General features: G+C 38.9%; 1 protein-coding gene across 8 annotated transcripts in view; it reads left to right on the forward strand.

Annotated features, from left to right (window-relative positions):
- TPP2 (tripeptidyl peptidase 2) overlaps positions 1-12,767 on the forward strand; it is an 82,973-nt gene extending 70,206 nt beyond the window's left edge. For 3 of the 8 annotated variants that reach the window (NR_160411.1, NM_001330588.2, NM_003291.4), the window contains 3 exons: positions 7,092-7,299; positions 9,105-9,224; positions 11,036-12,767. Coding sequence is in view for 7 of the 8 variants with exons in the window: in NM_001330588.2 (NP_001317517.1) it covers positions 7,092-7,299; positions 9,105-9,224; positions 11,036-11,125 (418 nt within the window). In the remaining variant the exon portion in view is untranslated. Of the gene's footprint in view, positions 1-566; positions 693-7,091; positions 7,302-9,104; positions 9,225-11,035 lie in introns of those variants that run through there. The other 5 variants (XM_005254070.3, NM_001367947.1, XM_047430578.1 and 2 more) reach the window with 4 other exon arrangements.

Genomic DNA, 13,705 nt, shown 5'->3' on the forward strand with positions numbered 1-13,705 from the left:
AATGCCATTTTCTAATCTTAAAAAATATTAACTTTTAGTTAATATCATGTTTTAGTTAAATTTAAACTGCACTTATTTAGGCATTAAAATACTGATTCCAATTAAGTTGCTTCCTAAAATGTAGCTATTATCTTGATGGATACCTAACTAGATTTGATTTCAAGGTCCTTATTGAGCAAATACTTCATGTAAGGCATCACTGACAAGGACTTAAAACATGAGCAAGATAGTCTCTACTCTTATGAAACTTATCATCTAATATAGAAGATGAAATTGCCAGATAGGAAATTATTAAGAGATAATGAAATACAAGTATTTTTAAATAAATATTTCAAATTGTAAAAGCCTGTAGAAAGAAAAGCTGACTTTCACCTGAGTGGAAAAAGCCTCATGTACTATAAAGGTATTCAATCTCAGCCAGTCAGTACAAAACCTAAGGAGAGGAAAGGAATACTCCAGATATGTAGAATTTAGATTACGTGATAAGAGGATGCTAAAATAGAAAGGGATCTTACAGCTAATTTAACCCAGGTCTGACAAATGCAGATTACCTGTGTCACCCCCAGGTTGCCTTCTGATTTCTGCATCATTCCAGCCCTTCTCTGGGCAGCCAGGATCCATCAGGCAGCATTTGCCGAGTCTGCCCTGCAGACTCTGGCCGAGCGACGGATGAAAGGAGTGCTCAGACACAGGTATCCAGTGAAAGAGTGGGCTAGGGGACTGCCAGCACTAAGGGCCAAAGAGAGTTAGCAGTCCCCCTGAGCCAGCGACGCTCACATTTATTTAGTAGAGATTTAATGACAAAGGCTTGGAGCAAACACAATTTGTGGGTAATAAACATTGTCGACCCCCAAGTAGAGAGCAGTCCTGCACATGAATGATCAAAGGTTGGTTTTTGGAGACAGGAGTAGTCAAATTTGTCTAGCGCAAATGATCAAAGGTTGGTTTTTGGAGACAGGAGTAAACAAATTTATCTAGATAAGTTCCTTTACATTCCCTTGTTATCTGCCTTTTGCTCCCTGGCTCCAGATAAGAGAATTTGGCTGCCTTCAGCCAGATCCTCTTTCAAAGCTTTTGCAAAACCTCCCAGCCTTCCAAGAAGGTTTGCATCTTTCCCTCTAACTTTTACCTACCACTCTGACCAATTTCCTACATCTCCCCATTTTCTGTTTTTTTGCATCAGGTTTTGTTGATTGAAGAGTACAGATGTGTGCAGCAACTGGTTTGTCTGGCGTAGTGGTTACTGCTTGTATTCCAGCTTTGCATCCTAGAATTAGTAAATAACATAAGACAAAATGAGTATAATCAGTAACATTCTTTTCCAATCAAGGAGTGACATGTAGTGTTTCTTGGCACCTCAGTCCAATGTGTGCTGTTACTAAGGAACCCCACTGAGGGTATGTTACCCCCTTCCAGCCAAGCAGTTACTTTATTGGAGGCTGGGAAGGTGGTGTCTGCCCAGGTAACAGGGCAGAAGAAAGGCAAATCTAAATGATGATCCCAATAGCGTGTAGCAGGTATGGGTTGCAGGCAGAGTGAGAGAATAAGAAGGGTTAATACCCAAAAGAGTTGCAGTGTACAACGGAAAGCATAGCAAGGAACAAATTATCTGGAGTGAATGGTGTCTATGTCCAGAGCAGGATTCATTCAGCCTTCTGAGTTTTCTTCAACATCTCCCAGGTAATGTCTGGGGTTTGTGTCGTCTGAAGAAGCTGCATCATCCAGGGCTATGGGTCCCACAGGGTCATTTTCTTCATTTCTGGTACCGGGTTGGGTCCTAGCCACGCTATGGTATGGTTTGATGCCTCGTGCTGGAATCCAAAGAGGACCTGAGGGGGTGTGAACACAAGCATGTCTTCTTCCCAGTGTTAACAATTCAGTTGAACCGCACCATACATTACTGTTTATATCTTTCCATAAAACTGCAGGTTTATGTCTTGAGAGGTTTTAGCAAAATGCTCTTCTATAGCTGATTGAAATTTATCGTTTAGATTTTAAAAAGTAAGGGTAAATAAGGCTTCTGCCAGTAGTGTTGCAGGGTCCTTACTCATATTCACTTTTTTGTTGTTTTCTGAGCATATTTTTAAGGGTGGATTGGACACGTTCTACTGTGGCCTGTCCTTGGGGGTTGTGAGGGATGCCTGTGGATTGTTGGATGTTCCACATATGACAAAATTGCTGAAATTTTGAGCTGGCATAAGCTGGACCAATATCAGTTTTAATTTTTGTGGGCCGCTCCATAAATGCAAAAGTTAAAAGAAGATGTTTAATAACATATTGAGCAGACTTTCCAGGAAGAGCATGTATGCTAATTAGGTGAGAATTGGTATCAACGGATGCATGTACATATCCTAGTTTTCCAAATTTAGGGATGTGTGTAACATCTGTTTGCCATAACTGATTAGGTTCTAGTTCTCTAGGGTTAACACCTGTTGAAGGAGGGGACATGCGTGTGAGCTGGCAATTTGGGCATTGCAGGATAATTTGTTTAGTCTTTGGGTAAGTTGAAATCGTTTAGATAAATTTGTCCAATTTTGGTGGAAACATTGATGCGAATGGGTGGCTTGGTCAAGCAGTGATGTCATAACCTGCAGGTCTGCTTGATCATTGCCATAAGCTAGGGGGCCAGGCAGTGAGCTGTGGGCCCAAATGTATGTAATAAAAATAGGATGTGTACATTGATCCACCGATTGCTGAAATCAAAGAAAAACTGCACACAGGGTGGGCTTGAGAGTGGACTTAATAAGGGCTGTTTCAAGGTTCTGCAATAAATAAACAGAGTAAGCAGAGTCACTAACCATATTGATTGGCTGAGCAGGAAAGGTCTCTAGGGCCAGTATTAAGGCTCCAACCTCAGCTTTCTTGAGTGTTAGTAAATCCAGAACAAGTGAGGGAATTGTGCAGTCTCCACCAAATAACCACTTTTCCATTTTTACCAGAGCCGTCAATAAAAAGCATTAAAGAATTAGGTATTGTGGGTGGGGGGGTGTGGCGGTGAACCACTTTTGTAGGCATAACTACAGGAGTACTAGATAATAACTGAAGTAGTTTATTGGCAGGAAGGGCATGTTCTATATGGCCTTTGTAATCAGAGAGTGCTATTTGCAGGTCTAGAGATAAGGGCAAGACTGCTTTGAATTGCTTTTTACTTAAAGGACTTCCGATGACATCACGGTCATAACCTAGCAACTGATTGCATCATCTGCGGCCTAAATAGATGGTTTTACTAACTAGCTGGGTACAGGGAGATAGAGTTTTAGTTCTGGTATGTGAGCAAAAAACTCATTTTAGGAAGCATAGCCCTGGGGACATCTGTCCTATTAATCCTGTTGGGGAATGCTTAGTAGGAAAAACAAACAATTGAACTGAATATTGAATATCGTGGGTCTGTGCAATCCTGTTGCCTCTGAAAAATAGCATGCTCTATTTCCTCAATTTCCCTTTTTGCTGCAGGAGTTAAATACCTGGGAGAGTCTAGGGCTGTATTGCCCTTTAGGATAGAAACAGGTTTTGTAATGTATCAGTTATGCCCAAGGTGGGGTGAAGCCAGTTAATATCTCCTAGTAATTTCTGATAATCATTTAATGTGTGTAAGTTGCTAGTATTTAACTTTTTAAGGTCTTACTGACCGGTAAGTTAGAATGTATCCACGATATTTCTAAGGAGAAGACAATTGTACTTTTTCAGGTGCTATGATTAAACCTCTTAACTGTGTATTCTTTACGACAGAGGCATATAGACTTACAAGTCCTGGCTCCGTTGGAGCTGCTAGTAAAATATCATCCATAAAATGAATAATCTTGCAATTAGGAAAGTCTTTTCTAATGGGGAGCAAAGCCTGATTTACATGATACTGACACAGTATTCCTTGAGGAAGTACTTTCCAATGAAATTGGCGAGCTGGCCTTTATTGATAACTGGTATTTTAAACACAAATTTTTCTCTGTCCTGTTCTGCAAGGGGAATAGTATAAAAGCAGTCGTTTAAGTCAATAAGACTATAGGTCAAACTACAGGAATTGCCGCTGGGGAAGGGAGGCCCTGTTGTAGGGGCCTCATAGGTTGCAAATTAGCATTGATAGCCCGTAAGTCATGCAAAAGTCTCCATTTGCCAGACTTTTTGGGAATGAGGAAAATGGGCAAATTCCAAGGGCTGTTTGACAGTTGTATATGGCTGGCTTTTAATTGTTCCTCAGCTAATTCATGGGCTCTTTGTAATTTCTCTCCCTTTAAAGGTCACTGTTCTACCTAAATAAGATTTTGAGAGAGCCTCATCAGGGGTAGGGGAGAAACAACAGTGGCCATTATTAGAAAGAGATCTGCAGAGTGACCTCAACCCTCTTGTAAATGGGCTAGCGGCTCCGTTTTCTTTAATGCTTTTCCTTATCTCTTTATAAGCGTTAAAAGTAACGGGTTCATACACCTGATTGTGTTGTCAATTTTGCGTTACCAGGCAGGCCAAGAGCTCCCCTTCTAATGCCGCTTGCCTAAGACAGGGTCCCATAGCTGTAGCATATTCCTTGTCTTTTCTCCAATTTATTGGAGGACGGGGCTCAGGCAAAACCTCCGTTTCCTCTTTGTTATCTTTGCCCGGTAACAGCGGGGCTGAGGGAGAAGGGGGAGGAACCATGGGTTATGGGAAACAACAGTTTGCATTAGGTCCCTTAATTGAGCCTGCGAAACCGAGCCTCCACTAGCTTTAAGCAGCTGTTTCATTACTTTTATATACTGTTGCTGTTGAGCTGATAACTGTTGTCCCATGATGAAACCCTAGCCTGAACAATTCCCTCGAACTTGGAAATCCCAAGCGGGCACCAGTGACTTACTGACTGCGCAGTCTCTTCACCTTCATTTTCGAGGGTTCCATTGTGATCCATTGCAGCGTTCCTCTCATGGGGCACCACCTGCCAAGTCTGTCCCTCAGACTATGGCCGAGTGACAGATGAAAGGAAAGGAGTACTCAGACACAGGTATCCAGTGAAACAGCAGGCTAGGGACTGCCGGCACTAGGGGCCGAAGAGAGTTAGCAGTCCCCCTAAGCCAGTGATGCTCGCATTTATTTAGTACAGAATTAATGACAAAAGCTTGGAGCAAACACAATTTGTGGGTAACAAACATTGTCGACCCCCCAAGTAGAAAGCAGTCCTGCTTGTGAATGATCAGAGGTTGGGTTTTGGGGACAGGAGGAAACCAATTTATCTAGATAAGTTTCTTTACATTCCATTGTTATCTGCCGTTTGCTCTCAGGCTCCGGATAAGAGAATTTGACTGCCTTCAGCCAAATCCTCTTTCGAAGCTTTTGCAAAACCTCGCGGCCTTCCAAGAAGGTTTGCATCTTTCCCTCTAACTTTTACCCACCACCCTGACCAATCTACAAGTATCAGCCTGGGTGTGGAAACCTGCCTTGTCAACCCATTGCTGTTCCAAGCCCCTTTCTCCTTCACAAAATCAGGATAGTAGTTGTGCCCGACACCTTGGATTGTTGGAAGGCATAAGCAAAGGACTGCTGAGAAGACATTTAAGGATGGCACCTGGCATCTAAGAGGAGGGGGAAGGAGGGTGGATCAGGCAATGGCAAGCCATGCAGATGCCCCACAGCTTGGAAGTCCCAAAAGTCTACTTGTAAATCCTTTTCTTCTTAATTCCAGTGTAAACAAGCAGTACCCAGAAACATCTCTACAAAAAGGCAGTGAAAGTTGGTTCTTCAAGCTTTGAGGCACTGTGCTGAGAAGCACTGAGGGATCTTTTAGGCATAGTTTCATTTACATTGCAAATGTATTGGGGTTGGTAATTGCCCTCTTTGATGAACTCTGCCAGTGTGAAGGAATTTCTCTACTACCCACATTGCCTCCCTGCCCACTTTCAAGGTACAGGATCAAATGGGCTTTGAACCTCTGAGAATACCCCGGTCTTGGGCAATGTTTCAGCAGCGGCATTTTCTATGGTACTTAGCGTTCATGTTCCCTGCCATGCGGCCTCTTAGATTAACAGGACTCCTTGGTGCGCAGGATTAATGTGGGTGAGCCCTTGAGCCTTCAAGTTGTTGGGTTGATGGCTGTCTTTCCTACTGCGGATCCTTGTTGATGGTACAGTCCCGGCAGTTTTCACATGCTACACATTTCACTCTGAGTCTTTCAGAGTCACTCTTAGCTGTTAGTTTGTTCCACAGCTAAGTGCCTCAATCATCATCATTTTCTCAGTACTTTTAGTCCTCATTGTTTTCACGTGTATCTGACATAAGTTGGACAGAATGCCTCAAATAAGCACACATTCTAGAGACTAACACTTTTCCCTGGAGTGTAGGTGGTGGTTGTATTTCATTCAGCAATGATTTATTGAGTTTCCATTCTGTGCCGGGCATTGTCCTAGGCACGTGGAATGCATTGAAGAAAACAAAGATGTCTGCCCTGGATCAAGGCAATGTGCCGTAGTGATTAAGAGCACAGATTACAGATTTCTACTGCTAAGCTTAGAATCCTGGATCTGCCACTTCCTAACTGGAGGACCTTGAACAAATTGCATAGTCTCTTTGGGCCACAGTTTCTTCCTTTGCAACATGGCAGTAATTAATAGTCTCTTACTCAGAATTGTTTTGAATGTGAATGAATTAACATGTTAAAATGCTGAGACAGTTGCTGGCACATTCAGAGTAAAGCATTACATTTATTTGTCCTAGTCATGAACTGAAAGTTTTAAGACATAACCTCTGGGTATACACATAGACAAATGTGTAATGATTACTATTTATAAGAAAACTGAAAACTCAAAAGTCGTTTACCTGATTAAGAGTTATATAGCTAAAAAAATTTAGAATAGTGATTAACCTTTCAACTCTGTTGCTTCTGGCATTCCGTTTCAACCAGGTGCAGCTACCCTAACTCATTTAATCTATATGTGTAATATAGTAGCTCATTTGATGTTTATTAATAAGGCATCATATTTGATGTACAATACAATTGTACGTACCTGGATATACAGTATTTCTGCATTATAAATCTTAGGCAAAAGAATACATGAATTTAAATTCAGATAAGAATTTACTTTTAAAGACATTTTACTGATATCTGAAATATTTTTTAATTTGCTGTACAGTGACATGGACAAACAAAAATCCACCCTCGTAGATGCCCTTTGTAGGAAAGGTTGTGCCCTGGCAGACCATCTTCTTCACACCCAGGCTCAAGACGGAGCCATTTCCACTGATGCAGAAGGAAAGGAGGAGGAAGGAGAAAGTCCTTTGGATTCTCTGGCAGAAACATTTTGGGAAACTACTAAATGGACTGATCTCTTTGACAATAAGGTAACGTTTCTGCTTCTTGTTTCAGCAAAGTTCTTGGGGTTACCTCACAGACCTCTCTTGTGCCCCATTGCTGGTTAAAAGAGGAAGAAGATAAATGGAAAGAATCTACGCTGGGCTCTGAATATGACATGTTTAGCCTAGTACTTCATGTTTGTCTCACCTTTTTTTAAAAAACATTATTTTATGGTACTGCAAACTGGCTGTTAAACCACAATAATTTTAAAAACAGTTTGAGAATATGTGTAGTAGGCTTTTAGTTAAACCAGTTATGTATGTAGCTAAATTAAGAAAGTCTTCTAGAAAATGCCTTCAGGCCCACCCTTCTCTAGTTATATGCTAATTTGTTGGTGGTAGGAGATTGGGGGCAGGTTGAGGAGACATACTGGTTAGTTGTTACTTATTTTCCTCAAAACTCTTGAATTTCTCAGTAATTATCATCTTGATTTGTAGCTAATCAGTTTTAAAACCCAATTCATAAAAGCATCGTTGATGAACTTTTTTGGATTTTGGTTACAAAAACATTTTAAATCTCTTTTAGCTCTCTACTATAATTCTTGCAATAGCGTTTATACAAGTTATTAATCTTCTTTTCCTGTGGAAATAAAATAAAGTAAATGGAGTCAGTAGGATTCCCCTCGCGTATCACAGACCATCATTTTGTTTTAGTAGACAGGTGCTTGTTCTCAGAATTAACTGGTAATTTGCAGTAAAGAACCCTGGAAGTGGGAAGAAAATTCTTATATGGTTCAGATTTTTCCAACACAGTACAGTGGTGCATTTAAAGAAGGTACTCAGTTACTCAGTTATATTTGGGAAACTGAAGGAGCCAGTATTGCAGCAGAGGTCAGGAATTTGAATCTGAAATTAGAGCCCTTGAGTTTGGCTCCTGCCTCTACCACTTTTATGTATGACCTTAGGCAACTTACAAAATTTTGATACCTTAGTTTCTTATCTACACGACCTGCCTTAGGCTGTGATGAATGAGTATTAAGTACATGCAAAGTCCCCAACAATATTTGCTGTTATTGCAAACAATTATTGAAGGCCTATGTGCCAAACACTACTTACTACTGGAAACATAAAGATGAATAAGAACCTGCTTTCTGTCTTTGAGGAATGTAACAGAGATTGACAAACACTTGATGAACATATAATAAAATTGTTATAGATCATTCTATTTTTGCAATACTACTACTATATTAGGGGCTATGCATTCTATTACCTGTTTACTGTGTTTACTGTGTCTATGGCAACAATTGTTAAATACTTTAGTTGCCTTTACAATACAAATCAGTGTCAGGATTTTCTTTGAGTACATTCTCCACATTCCAAAGTAGAGACCAAAAATATATATAAATGATTATAAGTATATTTGACAGATGCAGTAATTACAGGTAAAAACTTGTACCAAAGAAACCATGTTTATATAATCTAATACTTGTTTTTTTACTTCTATCCTCATTTGCAATTTTGGCATTTTTTATTTCTATCCTGATTTGCATCTTTGTAATTATTTATGTTAGCTCTGGTTTCTTGTGCATGAAGAGGTATTTTTAAGTGGATTTCCACGGCTAATAATTTCTCATATTAGTTTTCTTCCCAAAAAACAGATGGTTCATTCTGTGGAATACTCAGCTCTTTTGAAGACACCAATTTTCTTTTTCAAAGTTTTTAAAAATGTACTCTATGTACCATATTCATTTCAAAAGCTACACTTCTGTTAAAGCCTTAATTTTATGGTTAAAGCTAATGCCTTAAAATGTAAATTATTTTATAAACAAGCTTTATCATGTTTTACATTGTAGGTTTTGACATTTGCATATAAACATGCATTAGTAAATAAAATGTATGGGAGAGGCCTTAAATTTGCAACTAAACTTGTGGAAGAAAAACCAACAAAAGAAAACTGGAAAAATTGTATTCAAGTAAGTGATATTTAAAATGTCACTGTTAAGCATCACTTTGATATTGCATAGTGACAAGATAACTAGAAAGGATTAGGACTGTGATATAGCAATACTGGTTTTATTGTGACCAGTTATTACAGTAATTAGCGTAATATGAACTATAGAATAAATATATGAGAGACAGTCAATAAGCTATTTAAATTTTAAAAACACTTTTCACTGCTATCCAAAAAACTGATACTAGCCTCAAATGTTTTCAACAAGGGCAAATGCATTTTGAATTTTGTAACCGTAGAAGCCAGTTTTTCTTTATGAAGGAAACAAATCCTTTTAAAGGCATGTTGCCTCAACTCTAAAATGGTTCAACTTCTGGAGTTTATATTTGATTTTATTCTTCATTTGAGATGGTAGGCATTTTTAAAATTATCTTACCATATACAATATTATGTGCAGAGAAATTTTATAGTTGAGGTTTCTGCACAAGTTAGTTGTCAAGTAAAAAAATTTAGCTGATTTCTACAGAAGTTACTTTAGTCTGACCTCGTCTTTGAACATGCTTAATTGGTTTATGCCTAAAGGATACGTGAAGGCAGGGGAGTTTGGTGGTGCCAGATTCAGCTAAAGGGCAAGTCCAGGTTAATTATACTTTATATGTAAGGTACCCTTTGGATGTAAAACTGATCAGTAGGTTCCTCTGAAAATGTTTGATAATTAGAGTAAGCTATATTCATATTTACTCTTAGAGCTTTTTGTTTACCTTCACCAGTCAGTCCAAATTGTAAGACATTTTAAATTAGCTCCTCCAGATCTTTGACTAGATTAAGAGAACTCTTTCTGGAGCCAGGTGTTGATATGTCTAATGTGGTTCTCATCATGTGGAATCTGATCCGTGAGCACTTAGGTTTGTAAAGCCAGTGATCCCTGCCGACGTTCACATCAGGGAGTGTTTCTTAACTTGTCTGCCCTCCACTCTGCCCCCCCCGCTGCCTGTTCTCCACACAGCAGCTGGAAAAGATGCCTTTTGACACCTGCTGTTGAATCTCCATCACATTTGGAATAAAATCCAAACTCTCCCCAGTGGTCCATAAGGCCCCTGCCTACCTCTCCAGACTTATTTCATATCACACTTGCCCATACAAACTCTGCTTCTGCCACACCAGCATCTCTGCTTAGCACAAACAGCCACACCTTTTCCTACCAAAGGACCTTAGCACTAACTACTCTGGCTGGATGGAATGTCTTTCCCAGATTTTCGCACAGATTTCTTGTCATTCAAACTCAACTGGAGTATCACCTCCATAGAGATCCTTTCTTAACCATCTAACTCCCCAGTTAGTTTATATTGTGTCAAATATTATTTCTACTGTACACCTGATAAATATCTTATTACTTGTTTATTCATTTATTAATTTGCTTATTATTTGCTTTTCCTGAAAGTGGGAGGTGAATTTGTTCAGTGCTGTTTTCCCAGTGTTTGACATGATAGTTACTCAGAAAAAATGAATGAAAGGAACTTAGGTTGGTAGGAAGGAAAGGAACAAGTAAGTTGGAAGGAAGAAGGGAGGAACACAGGTTAATAGGAAAGAGGGAAAAGGACAGTTGGTAGGGATAATGATGAGAACAATAGGTTGGTTGGTAGGAAAGTTGGTTGATAGTAAGAAAAGTTGGTTGGTGGGAAGGAGGATCAATGGGTGGGTGACGGTTGGTGGAAGGAAGGTTCTATATGCTACTACCTTACTGTTACTATTTAATACAGAATTTATTCTAAATACTGAGCTTAAAAATCTGTCACTTCCTTTATAATAATATATTATTGTATTTTGTTGTAGCTGATGAAGTTACTTGGATGGACCCATTGTGCATCTTTTACTGAAAACTGGCTCCCCATCATGTATCCTCCCGATTATTGCGTATTCTAAAATAGGAAACAAGACTTTAAATTTTAAAAAAGGAAGTTTTATAGTGAATGGGTATAAAAACAAATTTGTGGCATTTTTAGTCTAATGCATGTTTTCATCCACTATCCAGTACTGATTATTAAAATGACATGTATTTATCAGAGAATTCACTGACGTGTGGCTTAATACATGTAAATCTAGACCTCTGACATCATGGTGTTTTCTTAATGCCTCACATTGCTGGCACGGGGATGTGCCCTGCCTGCCAGCACCTAGGACTTCGAGTTGGGTTGCAGCTTATGACATGCATGATAGGTTTTGGAAGGTAACTTTTAACTGCAAACCTATAAAGTACTATTTTTTATTTTATAAATGAACAGGGTTTTAACGTGCTCAACTTTAATTTTTTTCAATTGTATGAAGGCCTTAAAAAAGCTACATTAAGCGTAGCTAAAATTATTTATTGGACTAAAAACTAACAGAACTTCATTTCCAGAATTTTTTTTTTTTTTTTTTTTTTTTGGCAAATGTTTACATTCAATTAAGGGGAAAAAGTAGAACCAGCACAAATGAGTGGCAGTTGCTGGAGCATAACTGCTTCAATAAATCTTCATCTTGGGGTAATTACAGGCAAGTCATTTTCACATCCTCTTGAGGTTCAGAGCATCAGAATGAACTCTATGAATACATGTGTAAGTGCCAGACAGCTGAATCTTTATCAGGTATTGTAAAGATACACATATGATATGTTTATTAAAATTGAAATAATGTAAAACACATGAATAAATTTGCAAAACCAAGATCACAGTACACCATATGCACTCTGGTACCTTAATTTTTTTTTATAAATAATAAAAGTGAATATTGAAGCTTCTTAAAGTTGGTCTTAATTTTTCATAAATAAAATTTGGGGTTATAACAGAAATAATACATTAAATACATAGACAAAAAAAGTTAAACATAAGATAATCTATTTTACAGTGTTTCTTATAGGCTTACAATTATTTGAATGTATTTCCAGTTCTTGTATGATTAACTTTTGTGCATATCTAACTTTTTATTATTTTTATCTTTGGCTACTGCACGTGCATCTCTCGTCATTCCTCCACCAAATAAACAGACAAAAGTAGTATTGAAAAGTTTACAGTCCCTTATCTAATGGCAAATTGTGTGTATGTATGATTTTTTTATCTTGTTCTCTTAAGATTTACTGCTGCTTAAAATTACTACCAGTAATCCTTAGTCACTCCCAACTGTTTCTGCTGTATCTCATGAAGTGTTAGAGCGTTTATGAGAAACATAAATACATGTATAAGCATATTGGTCACACCTTCTGGGCTAGCTAGGGTCCAAAGTCTATCCATGAAAGCTACATGCATGTTCTCTCTCACACACTCATGGACTTTCACCTGCACACACATACAGGTCCCCATTTGTATAGGTTTAGTCCAGTAAGAGAATGGAGAAGCTCAGTAAAGGTAGGATGACTTCCCAAGGTTATACGGCTGATCAACTGTTGGAAATTAATTACAGACCTTGCTTTACAACCCAGGTTTTGCTATTTCAGGTAAGTACTACCTACAGCAGGAATCAGTAACGTTTGGCCCTTTAACCCAAACTGGACTGCTGCCTGTTTTTGTAAATAAAGTTTTATTGGAACAGAGCCATGCCTATTCATTTGTGACTCCTGTAACTGGAGGCAGTTATACAAAGCTGCCATGTTAGCTCCTGTTTCCTGTCTGGTTCATTCTGCATTTCTGTGGTGACAAGTGGACCCAAGTAAGCTCTAGAAGATGTTCTCAGTAAAATCATTACTGTTTCTATGTGATTACATTAAAAATAATACAAACAGTAGGATGGTACTTCAAAAAGTCAAGCAGTTTTCCTGTTTCTGGTCACAGTAGCCAATGTTTGCACACCCACTGAAAACAATTGAAAAAACTAGGTAAAAATAACTTTTTAAAGAACCATTAGAGACAGTACAGGGTATGTGCTCAATACTGGTTCTGTGGCCCCTTTCCAATAATAAGAGGCAGTTCTCAATTGTTACTGGGAGGAGTTTTGCCATCTCATGGGATTTCTTTCCTTCCTCATGTTAGCATGCTTTCTGGGAGAACTTCTCTTTACCGCAGAAGAGCCCCACCTGCTTCTCTTCTTAGGCACCACAAATCTCAAACCCTTTCTCCCTCCACCCCCAGCTCTAATGAAATGTGCAGGGACTGGATGACTGGAAGCCCCAGCCTGGGTCTCTGCTGTCTAATCCTGGCTCAAGTACTGACAAGTCAAATCACTTGACCCCCATGAATCTCCTTAAGAAAATCGTGGTGTTGAATCAGTGTGTCTATTCCAACTAAAAAAATTATTTCATTTGAATTAACTGAGTCTTTGCCTCCACTGTGTTTCGTTCTCCGTCCTCCCAGCAACCCAGCATTCAGAATACATGGGTCTTTGTCTTTCCCTTTAGGATCTAAGTCAGAGAAGCCTTCATAGGGAGATAGATAATAGGGATTCTTGCTATCTCCCCTAAAGGGGAAGGGGAGGAAACCTTGAATGGAGAGAATTTTTTGAGGAATAAAGAAGTGAGAAACTGAATTTCAAGAG

The sequence above is a fragment of the Homo sapiens genome, chromosome 13 (genome assembly GCF_000001405.40).
Source record: "Homo sapiens chromosome 13, GRCh38.p14 Primary Assembly".
NCBI classification, from domain to species: Eukaryota; Metazoa; Chordata; class Mammalia; order Primates; family Hominidae; genus Homo; species Homo sapiens.